Here is a 16,556-nt window from a genome sequence, read left to right as displayed (position 1 = left end):
CAATAGTTACCAAGCTTTCACAGATTAGGAGATTTCAAATAATAATTTAGATTTCTGGATTCTTCTGAAACATTAGAAGATTGGGCAATACTGGGTTCACATTGTTACATGGCAATGACTGGCTGGAGTTGAGTAATGGCTTTCCCTGTTAGACCAGGAATATTCTTTACTTTAGCCCCAGTCTCTGCCACTCCCTATTGTCTTTCACGTGGTACTTGCCTGGCCTTGTAGGCATTTAAATGTATCACTTTTCCAATGAAAAGATGAATGAATCAATTGATGAGTATGTTTTAGTCACAGTAATCACCATACATGAAGAATCGGGACTTTGATCTCCTCCAGTGGGTGGACGGGTAGGAATCTGGCTTCACTCTTGAGGTTGAAGGGTTTTCCTTTATACTTCAATAGCAGTCTTCCCTGGGAGTTATGAACTGTTTCCTTCCCACCCTTGAAATCTAGCCCAGAAGTCAGCCTGTGGGAAGAGACTTCCCAGGTCACTGTGCAGCTGGAGTTGCATCTTGGATGACACCATAGATAGCTCTGGCGGGCACCCATGCATTTATTCAGAAAATATATCTTGAGTGCTTACTTCATGCCCAGCAATGCGTCCAGCAATGCGGTGAGGAGGTGAATCAGACATCATTCCTGTCCTCTAGAGCTCATGGTCTGCATGCTCTAAGGGGCCAAGCAAATGTGTAAATGGACAATTTAATTAAAAATGGCAGGTGCCATAGAAGAGAGAAACTCAGAAGACCCTGGGTGGCTGCAGAAGACCCCTAAAGTAGCCAAGGGAAGGGGCTGTTGGAATAGTTGAGCGAGAGAGGCAGAGATTTTGAATGTAGCTCCCTTTCCACAAGACTCCCAGAGATGAGGCAGTAAGTGGTTCAGCTGACACTTGGCCAAGGCTAATCCTTCCACTAATTGAAGGTCATCTGTATACTTGAAGTTTGCCCCCTGGCATTCCAGAGCAGGATGGATATGCAGCCAACGCTTCTGTGTTTGAGCCCAGAATCAAATCACAAAGCCTTGCTTAAGTCAATCATGGGGCTCCCTCCAAGGCAGCACTCTATTATGTGTTTATGGATGAGACCTAAGAGGGCTGGCAAGGAATCATTCACCCTGCAGAGCGTGCCTTGGGGATGGACTGTAGGAAGGGAGAATTTTATTTTTATTTTTAAAGCCTGTGCTTTGATGTATTTTTTTTTAATGCAGGGTGGGTCTGCATTACTTTACAATAAGCATAGATGGTATAATGAACAGAACCCAGTGCCAATCATATTCTAATGATTCCTCTGAAAATATCCTGAGGAAGTCTTTGGTCCTCAACCCAGCTGAGCTCACTGCTGCATCCTTGGCAACCTGGTACAGGGTAGGTGCCCAGTAAATATTTCTTGAAAGACCTCACATCATTTCATTTAAAGGCAAATTGCAGAGCAGGAGCGCTTGGGTTCAAGTGTCCAAGGGCTCAGGATGCACATCCTAGTTGTATGTCTGTGAGCACAACTGACCTCTCTGAGCCTCAGTTTCCTCATCTTTAAAATGGGCTGTCTCAAGGTGTTGTTATGAGAATAAAACAAGCTCACGCACATGAGATGGGCAGCATATAGTGAGCACCCAATATACACTGATTATTTTTATGGCTTTTAAAACTCTTGTCATATTTTCATACCAATTGTACTGTTGTTCACTTAATACATATATATATATATATATTTTTTTTTTTTTTTGAGACAGAGTCTCACTCTGTCACTCAAGATGGAGTGCAGTGGTGTGATCTCAGCTCACTGCAACCTCAGCCTCCTGGGTTCAAGCGATTTTCCTGCCTCAGCCTCCCGAGTAGCTGGGACCACAGGCATGCGCCACCAAGCCTAGCTGATTTTTTTTGTTTTTGTATTTTTAGTAGAGACGGGGTTCCACCATTTTGGCCAGGCTGGTCTCGAACTCCTGACCTCAAGTGATCCATCCGCCTCAGCCTCCCAAAGTGCTGGGATTACAGGCATGAGCCACCACACCTGGCCTATGTAATATATTTTTAAAAATTTCTATTGACTTGTTTTTCTATTTAGATTGCACAGTATAATTTAGCCTCACTCTAAATAATAATAGTCTTATAATCAGAGGTTTCACATGTCAGTTTTAATTTTTCTAATTTTCTTAAGCCAAACGACTCACAAAAAGTTCATCTGGACACTGTTTAAAGCCGCGTGGGTATCCCCGTAGTGTATCTAATACTCCTACTCCTCGGGAAGTGCAGCCCGGTGCACAACACTTTATAGCTTTTGAACTCCCAGAGTCCAGAATACACTCTCCGTGTTTTTTTTGTTTTTGTTTTTGTTTTTTGTTTTTTTTTCAGCCCGTAGACTCTGTTCCTCCAATGTTCCATCCCTGTGCTAGGAGCTGGGTATGAAGCAGTGAATTAGAGAATCACGTTTTCTGTTCTCCCAAAACTCAGTCGAATGGGGAACAGAGAACAGTTACCGGGTCATTACAGCCCAGTGTGGTCTCAGCTGTGCTGGGGAAAGCGCACAGGAGAAGCCTCACTTTCCCGCCCCCTGGTCGGGGAGGCTTTTTCTTGATGACGTTGGTGGCTCCCTTCAGAGAACACAAATCCCTACTGTATTACCTGCAGTGCAGAAAAATGACCAGCAGGTGGCAGTGGCGACACAAAAGAATTCCCCCATGAACCTTTCCTCGGAAATTTTCTTTCATAAATTAACAGATGAATTAATACAACAAATATTCACTGGACACCTTCTGTGTGCCAGGCATTGTATGCGCCGGGCATACAATGATGAGCAAGGCGAACATGGTCCCTGCCTTCATGTAACTGAACACTAATTCAGTCCTGTATGTATTCCAGAAGTATTTCCTGATACCAAACCTGTGCTAAACACTGTCCTCGCCCTGGGGAGATGGAAGGTGCATAAAGGATAAATCGTTAGACCTGGGTGTAAAGGAGGATATTGACAGCCGACCTAGGAGCAGGACCCCCAGGCTAAGTGCTAGAATGGCCTTGGGTTATCCTGTGCCCTGGCTCCGCCCCTATGGTATTTTAATTTAATTAGTCACCCAGAGTATTCTTTTTAAAACTCTCCAGGAGATTTTAAAGTTTGGCAAGGGCTCAGAACCACTGGTTTGGTGTCCTGGCATGGTTAACATATTAACTCATCATTTAATTAATTTCCAAAGTATTTGCACAACCATTCTGTATTAGATGATTTGCATATATTATTTCTAATCCTTCTGCAAAGTCCTTGAAGGTAATAACAATCATGACCAAAACAGCCAACATTTACAATATTTACTGAGGGCATTCTCTGAGCCAGATTCCATTCTGAGTGTTTTATATCTATGAACTCATTTAGTTATCACAACAACCCTAAGACACAGATATTATATCTTTATTCCTACTTTATTTTATTTTTATTTTTGAGACAGGGTCTCATTCTGTCACCCAGGCTGGAGTGCAGTGGCGTGAACACAGCTCACTTCAGCCTTGACCTCCCTTTCAAGAGATCCTCCCACCTTAGCCTCCCGAGTCGCTGGGACCACTGGCGTGCACCATCATGCCTGGCTAATTTAAAAATTTTTTATGAAGACAGGGTCCTGAGGACCCTGAGGTTACCCAGGCTGGTCCTGAACTCCTGACCTCAAGTGATCCTCCTGTCTCGTTCTTTCAAAGTGTTGAGATTACAGGCATGAGCCATCATGCCTGGTCATCATCTCCATTTTGTATCCAAGGAGAATGCAGCGCAGAACGGTTGGGTAACGTGTTAAAGGTCACAAGCTAGTTAGTGGTATAAATAAGATTCAAATCCAGGTGGTCCAAGTCCGGTCTTAACCACTGCACCATGCAGCCATTTTACAGATGAGAAAACTGAGGCTCAGGTGGAACTCACTGGTGAAAAGTCCCCTCAAGCAGGAAGTGGCTGAGCTGCAATTTGAGCTGAGGATTCTCTAGCTTTCAAGTCAGCCTGATTCAATTTTGACCCAGTCCTCAGTAAGAGTTTGAAAACAATGTCATATGGAATTTTTCCCCAGCAGGAACCAGCTCTTGGAAGGCATTTGTGTGTATCTTCAGCACCTAGAAGATGGCAGAAGAGTCAAAGGAATAGGAACTTGAATTTGAAACTGGAGGCCTGTGTCTGCTGCACCACCTTGAGTGAGTTGCTTATGTCTCCATACTCCATTTTTTTCTGCCCATAAACAGTCTGGACCTTAGCCGAGACATGGCTAGGCAGTGACATGTAGTCACACTTTGAAATAAGATCATCTAAGGCAGGTTTTCTCAACTTAGACAGGTTTTACATTTGGAATGGATAATTCTTTGTGGTGGGGGCTGTCCTGGGCACTGGAGGATATTGAGCAGCATCCTGGGCCCTGACCTGCTAGAAGCCGGTAGCACCCCTCTTCCCTGACAAGTTGTGACAACTCATAATTTCTCTAGAAATTGTATTTACACATGTCCCCTGGAAAGCAAAATCGCCTCTGGTTGAAAACCACTGGTCGAATGTTTTAAACAATTCGGGTTGCAACTGGTGTAACTCCAGCCGTTCTCTCCCAGGAATGCAAATGAATTGGACCGATGGCCTTATAGATCTACTCACGAACCCACTCTCGTTTCTGTTTTCTTTTTCTATTTTCCCCTCTCTTTAACAATAGAAGAAAATGTACATTTCTGGAGCACATTTGAACAAAAAGCTCGAAATCAAGTCCCCTAGTAATAGTTACAAATGGTTTGCAATATGCCCTACAAGCAGTGGAGCTTTGAAACAGAGTGGTGATTAGCAGCCAATGTTAACTGACGACTTGCTATGTGCCAAGCACACCATTCATTAAAAGCCTTTATATTTATGATTGGCATGTTCGTTTTTCAATCTTTTTGGTGAGAAAGCTGGCTTGTATAAAGTCATGGTGCTTGTAAGAGGCAGGGCTGGGGTACAAACCTGGACGTGCTGGTTTTTAGTGCTGTCCATTTAATGGTTCTGCTATAACAAAGGCCCTTCTTTTACCCAAATCCCCTAGGGTTATCATGGATTTCTGTGAGAGACCGCTTTCCCAGAGACAGAGATTTCTAAATGAGGACGGGAACTCAGCTAACACTGGACATGCTGGCCAAGATGTGGCCACAGGAGACGGCTCAACAGTGGAAGCTCCTACGGTGGCCACAGTCTGGCCACAGCACCTGTGGGCTCTGTCCAGGCTGGGAAATCCCTGTGTCTCGTATCCCAGGTGTTCTGGGCTCAGGGCTGTGAGAACCAGGGCCTCCCGGGGAATCGCTGTCTCTTAAGCAAGCTAAGTGGCTCCTGGAGAGCCACTCATAAAACCCTTGCCGGATTTGTCAGATTCTTTTTAGTTTTGGTGGTGTGGTTTATGTCTTTGGGATGGTTACCTCAGGAGTCATCCACCACGTCCTTATCAAAGAGGGGAAGTTGCAACAAAGCAGAGGTGTGATAAAGACCACATTCATTTTGCTAACAATATCAACGACAGTAATAGTAACATCATTTGTCGAGCCTCCTGGGCTTGGGGGATTCAAGGATCAACTGGAGACAATCCTAGCAGGTGAGTTATGTGTTTATTCTATATATATATTTTAAAATTCTTTCTCTTTCTTACTCTAGGGAATGTGATTCTACAAACATATAAACAGATCATTTCAATAAACTGCAGCAGCTGTGGTGACAGATGTCACTGTAGGTTCCATGGGAATTCTGAGGACAGAAACACAACCCGGCCTAGGAAATCAGGGAGGACTTCCTGGAGGAGGTGGTGCTGACGATTCATTGTGATTTCCTTCATAGACCTGTCTCTCCACCCTCCTTTCCAAATAGGCCCCAGGCTCCATGAGAATGTGGGTCATATCTGTTTATACCTTACTGTTTTTCCAGGGGCTAGTGCCAGGGTTCCCAAACTTTCACCAAGGTGACCCAGGATGCCACCAGGAACTCACAGGGGGTGCTGTGGGATTTTTAAAAAAAGTTCTGAGGGCCGGGCACAGTGGCGCATGGCTGTAATCCCAGCACTTTGAGAGGTCAAGGCGGGTGGATCACAAGGTCAGGAGACCATCCTGGCTAACACGGTGAAACCCCATCTCTACTAAAAATACAAAAAATTAGCCAGGCGTGGTGGCGGGCACCTGTAGTCCCAGCTACTCTGGAGCCTGAGGCAGGAGAATGGCGTGAACCCGGGAGGTGGAGCTTGCAGTGGGCTAAGATTGCGCCACTGCACATCGGCCTGGGCAACAGAGCCAGACTCCGTCTCAAAAAAAAAAAAAAGTTCTGAGGAAACACAATGATGTGTTGGACCCTTGTGAACTACCAGCTCAAGATAGTTCACCGTTTCAACATTAGATCACGTCACCTTTGTTTTGGTGATGACTCATCATTGCAAAGCTGGATTTTTTTGTGGTGCTCGTGCTAACTGTGACAAAATCAATGTGGAACAGGAAATTAGGGTGGCGAAGTCCCATCTGATCCTAACGTTTAAGAAGATTTGCACAGCCCAACGGGTATACACATCCTCGTAGCAGCAATTGTCATTATTATTATTATTATTATTATTATTATTATTATTATTATTATTATTATTTGAGACAGAATCTTGCTCTGTCTCCCAGCCTGGAGTGCAGTGGCATGATCTCAGCTCACTGCAACCTCCGCCTCCCGGGTTCCAGCGATTCTCCCGCCTCAGCCTCCCAGGTAGCTGGGATTACAGGCACGTGCCACCACACCCAGCTAATTTTTGTATTTTTAGTAGAGACGGGGTTTCACTATGTTGGCCAGGCTGGTCTCGAACCCCTGACCTCAGGTAATCTGCCCGCCTCAGCCTCCCAAAGTGCTAGGATTACAGGTGTAAGCCATCACGCCCAGCCAGCAATTGTCATTATTTAATAATAAAAAAAACCGTTTTTCTTTTAATGTATGTGCATTACTTTTTCAAATGGCTACTATGCTGTGAAGAGATAACTACTCATTCAGTTGTTTGTACCTAACTGTTTAATAAATGGAACTGGTATTTAATAAATGGAAATGGTATTTTGGCCTAGGAAATCTGTGAAAAAATTCCTGAGACACCAAGGGTGTCATGAGTTGAGAAAGTTTGGGAACCTCTGTCCTAGCGTGTGCCTGCATATAGGAGGCCTGAACAACTGAGTAAGCTGAATGACTGAGTGAGTTGCTCCCAACAATCCTTCTTGGTAAAGGGTATTATTTTCTTTCACAGATGGGGGCTCTGAGGCCCAGAGAGGGCAAGTTACTTGCCCAAGGTCACTCAGCAGAGCTGGAGGGTGTGTCTGACTTTGACACCCAGACTCTTCCCTTTATCTCTGCCTGACCTGTCTGTTCTTAAAGTGCCCTGGGGTAAATGGACTAGGATTAAAAAGATATGGCTTTCAGTCCCAGGGGACCAAACTATGGCTTTGGGCAAGTGACTGGGCAAGAGGCTGTAGACAACCAGAGCTTATACAGTTTTCTTTTCTTTTCTTTTCTGTTTCTATGTTGTTGAGACAGGGTCTCCCTCTGTTGCCCAGGCTGGAGTGCAGTGGCGTGATCTCTGCTCACTGCAACCTCCGCCACCTGAGCTCAAGTGATTTTCCTGCCTCGGCCTCCTGAGTAGCTCAGATTGCAGGTGCTCACCATCAAGTCTGGCTAATTTTTGTATTTTTAGTAGAGACGGGGGTTTCACCATGTTGGCCACACTGGTCTGGAACTCCTGACCGCAAGTGATCCTCCTGCCTCAGCCTCCCACAAGTGTTGGGATTACAGGCGTGAGCCACCTCACCACTGGGCCCAGGGGCTTATGCAGTTTTCTGTCTGCTTCATTAACTTCTTGGTGGATCTTTGTCCACTCTTAAGCACCAGAGGTTTGCCCAAAAGCTGAACTGCAGAGTGATGAGGTTGGGAAGATGCTTTTGGGTTTAGTCAGGCTTGAGTTAGAATTCTGTTCTTCCTTTCTGTTGTGTGACCTCAGGAAAGCTACTCACCCTCTCCAGTCCTTCTTTGCCTGCTTTTAAGTGGACAGGCATTCACCTGTGCGATTTCCGTGAGGGTGAAGAGTGTTAGTGTTGGGGAAAAGGTCAGCCTACTGAAGGGGCCCATCAAATGGGTGCTGTTCCCTTTGTTCAGTCGACAAAACGTTTCAAAGCTGTTTTATGTCTGACAACCTCAACCTTAAAAATGCCTTCAGAACCTAGACTGCATCCTCCCTCTTACTCAGGAGCCGCGCTGCCAGAATCGGACCATCTCTCGCCTCCTGCGTTATCTCCCATCAGCCTCACCCGCTTGTCACGTCGCTGCCACCACACGCAGGGCTCTTCTTCAGGCTTTTGGGAGTACCGCGTGTCTCCTGACACCCCGCGTGGCTCGTGAACTCATTAGCATGGGTGTAAGGGAAGCCGTCTCTACTCAGCACTGCAGATCCAATGCTGAGATTTCAGGGAAAAGCATTCCCGAAGGGAGGGAGGGAGGCTTGCGTCTTGGAAATCCAGCAGCAGCTGCCGCAGCTCAGAGGGTCTTTAGAGACTGGGTCTCATTGGTGAAGTGCTTTTTCTTTTTTAAAAAAATGATGCCTCCACCTTTCAGTATTTTAATAGAAGCTTTTATTTTAAGCTTTTCATCTCTGGGTCTCTGCAGCTGGAGTTACTAAAGTGGCTGCTTCTGATCGCTCTTGCAGTCACTAGAAGGAAATGGGAATGACACTGACGTCCTAGGGCTGCCCTTGACAAAGGACCACAAACCGGGAGGCTTAGGACAGCAGAAACTTCTTGGCTGGGAGGCTGGAAGTCCAAAATCAAGGTGTCAGCAGGGCCACACTCCCTCTGAATGCTGTGGGCGGTTGGGGGGGGTCCTTCCTTCGTGCTCCCTGGCTTGCAGCTGCATCACTCTAATCTCTCCCTCTGTCACCCTGTGGCCTTCTCTGTATCTGTGTCCCCATCTGTGTCCAGATTTCCCTCTTCTTACAAAGACACCAGTCATTGGATCAACACCCATCTTAATCCAGTGCGACCTCAGCTTAACTTGACCACATCTGCAAAGATTCTATTTCCAATCAAATCCACAGTTACAGATACTGTGGGTTAGAACTTTGAAGTTCTAATCAAGGTCACAGTTACAGATACCATGGGTTAGGATGTCAAAGACGCTACGTCCAATCAAGGTCACAGTTACAGATACCATGGGTTAGGATGTCGAAGACACTCTGTCCAATCAAGGTCACAGTTACAGATACTGTGGGTTAGGATGTCGAAGACACTGTGTCCAATCAAGGTCATGGTTACAGATACTGTGGGTTAGAACTTTGAAGTTCTAATCAAGGTCACAGTTACAGATACCATGGGTTAGGATGTTGAAGACACTGTGTCCAATCAAGGTCACGGTTACAGATACTGTGGGTTAGAACTTTGAAGTTCTAATCAAGATCACAATTACAGATACCATGGGTTAGGATGTCAAAGACGCTAGGTCCAATCAAGGTCACAGTTACAGATACTGTGGGTTAGAACTTTGAAGTTCTAATCAAGGTCACAATTACAGATACCATGGGTTAGGATGGCGAAGACGCTATGTCCAATCAAGGTCGCAGTTACAGATACTGTGGGTTAGGACTTTAACATATCTTTTGGGGATAGATTCAACCTATAACAGGAACCAACCAATGTGGATTTGGCCCAAGGTTCTGGGGCTTGGGGACCAAGTGTGGTTGTGGTTAAGGGGCTAGGTTTAGTATGTGTGTATAAATACACACATATGCATAGATTCACATATATATAGTGTCTAGAAATGTGTCTTACACATTCAATGAGCAATGATTCTTGTTATTTGTACTTCCCTCTGAATATCAGTTTCCTTAGTATATGTGTATATGCATATATATGCACATATGTACACACACTATATATACACACACATACACAAAAACACATGTTTACAGATATGTATAGTGTGCTTAGCAATGTGTCTTTTACATTCAATAAGTAACTATTGTTATTATCTGTACAATGGGGGCAGTTGCATTTTATCTCTAAGTCATCCTGCAGTTGTATTTTATCTCTCAGATTCCCTTCAGCTCTGAAATTCTGGGACTCTGACTAAAAAGACAGATGGAGACACAGGGCTGTGTGGTCCAAGAATCCCTGTTACTTGTGGAAACAGAATAATAAAGTGTCCCTTTTTGAGAAGAGAAAATAAGAACACAGAAATGGAAATTTTTCTCTCACAAGAAAAGGATCAGATGTTAAGGGAAATCTATGAAGCAAGCGCTTTGGGCCTAAAACTCTTCATTCTTTTGGGATCTGTAGAGTAAAGCCCTTCTGTGGGCTGGGGAAGCTGAATTTATGAACTAGCACACGGGAACTTGGCTTTGGCTGGCTCATGAATAGAGCAGAGAGGAAGGTCTCTTGTGAGTGTGAATTTGGCCATACTCTGTCTTCAACGACAGGCAACAGACATCTCCATTTTTGTTTTCCTGCCAGGAATCAAAGAGTTAATGCATGCGCCATTCTTAGAATGACACCTGGCCTACAGTAAGTGCTCAGTAAGTATCAGCCTATCCAATGAAAACGGACAAGGACTTTCCTGCTTTCTGGTTGCCTTTCTGCAGTTTGCTCGTCTAAATCGTAGAGTTGCTTGTTAGTGTGGTCATCAAAATTTGTGAAGCCTGTTTTAGGTACTTGTGAGAAGTCACAAAACATAGCCACTATAGGAGGTGGCCAAGTCTATAAATTGTACACAGTGTTACTCACATCAGATGTAGGGGAATTTATAATCAACTCACAGGAATTCTATTTTTTCTTTTCTTTTTTTCCCCCCAGAGTTAAATTCTTGGTTCTTCAACACTATCAAGACCTCACTGTGGCTTCTGGAGTTTGAACTGGCTGTATTCCTAATGGAGTTGTTCATAACACACTAATTTAAAATATTAGTGCAGCTGAGAGTTTCTAACCCCCAAAATACTGTGTAAGGCTCTGCTCCTTCCGTGTAACTTCATGCTTTCCTTATGCAATGACTGTGAACATTGTTTGTATATCAGAATCCCTAGAGAGCCTTGAAGTAGTATTCTTTTTTTTTTTTTTTTGAGGCAGGGTCTCGCTGTGCCACCCAAGCTAGGGTACAGTGACATAATCACAGCTCACTGCAGCCTTGACCTCTTGGGCTCAAGCAATCCTCCCACCTCAGCCTCCTGAGCAGCTGGGATAATAGGTGTACACCACCATGCCTGGCTAATTTCTGTATTTTTTTGGTAGAGACAGGGTTTCGCCATGTTGCCCAGACTGGTCTCAAACTCTTGGGCTCGAGTGGTTTGCCTGCCTTGACCTCCCACAGTGCTGGGATTACAGGTGTGAGCCACCACACCTAGCACAGTATCCTCTTCTTAAAATGAAATCAGTGAAGCCAGGGTGGTGGCTCATGCCTGTAATCCCAGCACTTTGGGAGGCCGAGGCGGGTGGATCATTTGAGATCAAGAGTTCAAGACCAGCCTGGCCAACATGGTGAAACCCCATCTTTACTAAAAATATAAAAATTAGCCAGGCATGGTGGCACGCGCCTGTAATCCCAGCTACTCGGGAGGCTGAGGCATGAGAATCGCTTGAACCCAGGAGGCGGAGATTGCAGTGAGCCAAGATGGTGCCACTGCACTCCAGCCTGGGTGACATAGTGGAATTCCATCTAAAACCAACCAACCAACCAACAAACAAACAAACAAACAAACAAACAAACAAAAAAACAAAGTATACTATGCTCCCAGGGCTACTTGAGGAAGAAAGAGTGAAATTTGGTAGAAGACTTAGAGCAACGCGTGATAAATTTACTGTAAATGTTATAGTATGTGTGCTCCCAATCAGTGTTAGGTACTGTTTTGTCATAGTAATGATAATAAAAGCCCCTGTCGAAAAGCAGAAGGCCTCCTAGCAGCCCAGCCTTCCATCATGAACAAGAGAAAGTGAATCTGCTTCTACCTACTGGGGGCCCAATTCATTAAACAGGACTCACAAACGCAGTGGGGCAGGCGAGACGTCCAGATGGGAGTCCCTGTTTCACGGCTGTAGCAGGTCAGAAGAGAACTCCCTTCAAGCACAAAACCGGGGTTGCAGGTGTATTGGATGGTGGTCCCCACCAGCAGCACAGGATCCGAAATTAAGCGGGTCGAGTGATCCACCTCTCCGGGGTCGGTGCAGTACATAACTACACGGGATGAAACCAGACCAAGAGGACGTCAGACCTCTGGATGACCATGGGTTTGCTGAGAATTACAGAATGATCTAGAAAGTTTCCTAACTTGGCCGGGTGCGGTGGCTCACGCCTGTAGTCCCAGCAATTTGGGAGGCCGAGGCGGGTGGATCACGAGGTCAGGAGATCGAGACCATCCTGGCTAACATGGTGAAACCCCGTCTCTACTAAAAACACAAAAAATTAGCCTGGCCTGGTGGTGGGCGCCTGTACTCCCAGCTACTCGGGAGGCTGAAGCAGGAGAATGGCGTGAACCCGGGAAGCGGAGCTTGAAGTGAGCCGAGATCGCACCACTGCACTCCAGCCTGGGCGACAGAGCGAGACTCCATCTCAAAAAAAAAAAAAAAAAAAGTTTCCTAACTCAGTTCTTTTCCTTTTTGGAAGATAATGTATCTTTTGTTGATAGGTGGCTGGAGAATAGGCCAGGAGAAAATAGCCTTGAATTTAATTCCTCTTTTAAGAATTTGCCCAAAGAGGTGGGGCACGGTAGCTCATGCCTGTAATCCTAGGACTTGAAAGGGAAGACAGAGGTGGATGAATCGCTTGAGCTCAGGAGTTTGAGACCAGCCTGGGCAACACAGCAAGATCCGGTCCCTACAAAAAATACAAAAATTAATGGGGCATGGTGGGGTACACCTGTTTTTCCAGCTACTCAGGAGGCTGAGGTGAGAGGATCGCTTAAGCCTGGCAGGTCAAGGCTGCAGTGAGCCATTATGGCACCACTGCACTCCAGCCTGGGCAACAGAGTGAGACCTTGCCTCAAAAAAATACATATAAATATATATATATATATATGTGTATATATATATATACACACACACACACATATATATGAATTTGCCCAAATAATTTGCATCAGGGTCCAAAGACCTATGTATAAGGTTGCATATTGCATTATTATTTGCGATTTTTTTAAAAAGGAAACATTGCAAATAGTTTAACAGGGAAAGAGTTAAATATCATGGAATAGCCATCCCATGAAATTCTGAGCAACTGCTAAAGAGAACAAAGTGAGGGGGAGCCTTCACTGCTTTCTCTGTAGTGCTGGAATGTAGTAAAATAAACTTTCATTACTTTTCACATTAAAAAATCAATATAGATAAAAGGAAAACAATAAACCAATTAAAAGAGAATAAACTGGACAACATGTATGATATGAAAAGATATCCACATTTCTGAGCTGAAAAAAAAGCAGATGCAGGAAGTTTGTAAGAATGGATCTGCTGGGTGCGGTGGCTCATGCCTGTAATCCCAGCTCTCTGGGAGGCTGAGGCCAGGAGTTTGAGACCAGCCTGGGCAACATAGCAAGACCCCTGTCTCTACAAAAAATTTTTAAAAATTAGCTGGGTGTGGTTGTTCACATCTGTAACCCCAGCATTTTGGGGGGCTGTGGTGGGAGGACTGCTTGAGCCCAAAACCTTGAGGTTGCAGTGAGCTATGATTGACATATGACAGATGACACATATATAGATGTCTATGTGTGACATGTAATGTATGTATGATGTGCATGTACACACACACACAATTGAAGCAATATAGAATAAATGTTTAACAGCAGCGTTGTTTCCAAAGAGTAACATCATCAAAGATTTTCACTTTCTATTCTATCATTTTACTACTGCCTGGGTACTATAAGTAAGCATCGTTACCAATGTAATTTTAAGATATGGCTATATATGTCTTTCAATGTCAAGACAGGAGATTAACCAATGAAAGGTTAATGAAATCCAGTGACTTCTATGGGGAGACCATTGTGCCAAGGGGTTTTTCTGACCTCATTTCATCAGAAGAGAGAACAACAGAGGTGATTGGTGGGTCTCCACTGTCTTGGATGGAGGATAAGTGAGAGACCCAGCATGGAAATGCAAACAGTCCCACATAGAAGGGGCCCAATTCAAATTTATTTGCCCACTTTGGGCCTTTTCTTGGCAAAAAATGAGGCAGGTAAGAAGACTTCTATAGGGAACTAGTTCATGTTCATTCCAATCCCTTAAAATGGTTAAATAATAATGATTTTTCCCTCCCTTCCTCTCCTCTCCTCTCCCTTCTCTCTTTTTCCTTCCCTCCCTCCCTTCCTTCCTTCCCTCCCTCCCCTCTTTCATTCCTTCCCTCCCCTCCCTCCCCTTCACTCCCCTTCCCTCACCCTCCCCTCCCTCCCTTCTCTCCCCTTCCCTCCCCCCTTCCCTCTCTTCTCTCCCCTTCCCTCCCCTTCCCTCCCCTTCCCTCCCCTTCCCTCCCCTTCCCTCCCCCTCCCTTCCTCCCTTCTTCCCTTCCCTCCCTTCCCTCCCTTCCCTCCCTTGCCTTCTTTCTTTCTTTCTTTCTTTCTTTCTTTCTTTCTTTCTTTCTTTCTTTCTTTCTTTTTCTTTCTTTCTTTCTTTCTTTCTTTCTTTCTTTTTCTCTTTCTTTCTTTCTTTCTTTCTCTTTCTTTCTTTCTTTCTTTCCTCCCTTCCTTCCTTCCTTCCTTCCTTCCTTCCTTCCTTCCTTCCTTCCTTCTCTCTCTCCCAGCCACCCCTCTCAACAGGGTTTTGCTCTGTCACCCAGGCTAAAGGGCAGAGGCATAATCATAGCTCAAACACCTGCGTTCCAGCAATCCTTCTGTCTCAGCCTCCTGAGTAGCTAGGACTACAGGTGTGTCCCACCACACCCAGCTAATTTTTATGCTTATTATTATTTTTTAGAGATAGGGTCTCACTGTATTGCCCAGGCTGCTATCAAACTCATGGGCTCAAGTGATCCTCCCACCTCAGCCTCCCAAAGCACTAGGATTACAGGCATGAGCCACTACACCCAGCCAAATGTTCTTTTTCACCAGGCTACATACGCTCCCATTCACTGGAGTTCACACCACTCCCTAATGTCTCACACCCAGCTTATCTCACTCGTTTACATTATGGTCCAGGTTTCTGAAGGCACCTGAGTCTGTAATTCCACTGACAGCTATAAAATGACATTTGTGAGCAATGCTCGTGAATTGGTGGTGGAGGGGGAGTCCAGATTCTACATTAAACAGCTCCACTGCACCCACCAAAAAAAGATCCCTAGAAGGGATTTGCCACCCAGGGACCTAGAGGAAGGAAACAAGACCACTCTTACTTTTCTCACAAAATGGGGGGTCGCTGCTCCAGCTGAGGTCCCACTGGCAGGTGAGGGTGTCACTCCCCACGATGTCATAGCCGGGGTCACACTGGTAGGTGATTCTGGCTCCCCGCACCAACTCCGTGTGAGAAGTGGTTTTCCAGCCATTCTGGATCTCGGGTAAATCCGAGCAGGAGTCATTCCTTGATACCTCTTTAAAAGAGAAACGTCAGTCTTAGATGGGGGAAGCAGTCTTGTTGTCGGGGCCTCCTTTTATGACGGCTAGAGGGATGAGCGAAGAGAAAAAAAAGCCTCTAGAAATGAGCAACACGCTTCCAAAATCGCTTAACTGGCAAGAGCTCGTCTATAGTGAAGCTTTATGGTTACCTCTCTCTGTGGGCCCCTGAACTCACTGAACATTCTCTTGGTTTGATAAAACCAGTTTAGGATTTCGAGTCAGACAGAATCCTATCTCTGCCACTTATTAACGGTGTGACGGGGGGACAATCACTTTTTGACTCTGCAGCTCAGGTTCCTTGACCTTTCATGAGGGAATAATTACAACGGCACCTGTCTCACTGTGGCCGCTGCTTACCAGATGTCACTGGATGACTCTCACCTCCGAGGGTTTACACTCTTTTAAAAATTTTTGTATTTTTGTTTTTTATTTTACTTTTGCTTTTCATTTATTATTATTATTCTTATCATCATCATCATCATCATCATCATCATTATTTTTACAGGCAGGGTCTCTGTTGCTCAGGCTGGAGTGCAAGAGTATGATCATAGCTCTCCACAGCCTCAAACTCCTGGGCTCAAGTGATCCTCCCACTTCAGCCTCTCAAGTAGCTGGGACCACAGTCATGTACCACCATGGCCTGGCTAATTTTTTTTTTTTTTCTGTAGAGATGAGCTCTTGTATGTTGCCTGGGCCAGTCTTGAAGTCTTAGGCTCAAGCAATCCTACCGCCTGGGCCTCCCAAAGTGTTGAGATTGCAGGCATGAGCCACTGTGCCCAGCAGAATTTACACTCTTGTGTAGTCCCTACCAACACTGAATAGGAGGTTGCAAAAGTGGCCCTGGGTGGCTTCCGAGGTTAGGTCATAACAACATTGAGTTTCTCTTCTTGCTCTCTATTGAATCACTTGCTTCAGAGGAAGCAGCTGCCATATTGTGAGGATGCTCAAGCAGCCCTCCAGAGAGACCCATGGGAAGAGAAACTGAGGCCTCCTGTCAACAGTTGGCATTGACTTGC

The 16,556-nt window shown here is 45.2% G+C and overlaps 1 protein-coding gene and 1 long non-coding RNA gene across 7 annotated transcripts in view; one reads left to right on the top strand and one right to left on the bottom strand.

The window, feature by feature from the left end:
* SEZ6L (seizure related 6 homolog like) overlaps nt 1-16,556 on the bottom strand; it is a 214,135-nt gene that overhangs the window by 20,363 nt on the left and 177,216 nt on the right. For 5 of the 6 annotated variants that reach the window (NM_021115.5, NM_001184773.2, NM_001184774.2 and 2 more), the window contains exons 11-12: nt 15,321-15,515; nt 11,991-12,182 (exon numbers count right to left, since the gene is read on the bottom strand). In NM_021115.5, the coding sequence (NP_066938.2) occupies nt 11,991-12,182; nt 15,321-15,515 (387 nt within the window). The remainder of the gene's footprint in view (nt 1-11,990; nt 12,183-15,320; nt 15,516-16,556) is intronic. The other variant, NM_001184776.2, reaches the window with a different exon arrangement.
* LOC124905096 (uncharacterized) lies at nt 2,209-10,895 on the top strand. Its single transcript, XR_007068038.1, has 3 exons — nt 2,209-9,597; nt 10,472-10,533; nt 10,811-10,895. It is a non-coding gene; the product is annotated as an uncharacterized LOC124905096 (long non-coding RNA).

The sequence above is a fragment of the Homo sapiens genome, chromosome 22 (assembly GCF_000001405.40).
Source record: "Homo sapiens chromosome 22, GRCh38.p14 Primary Assembly".
Classification (NCBI taxonomy): domain Eukaryota; kingdom Metazoa; phylum Chordata; class Mammalia; order Primates; family Hominidae; genus Homo; species Homo sapiens.
The sequence above is the reverse complement of the archived record's forward strand: the minus strand, read 5'-3'. Positions and strand labels throughout refer to the sequence as shown.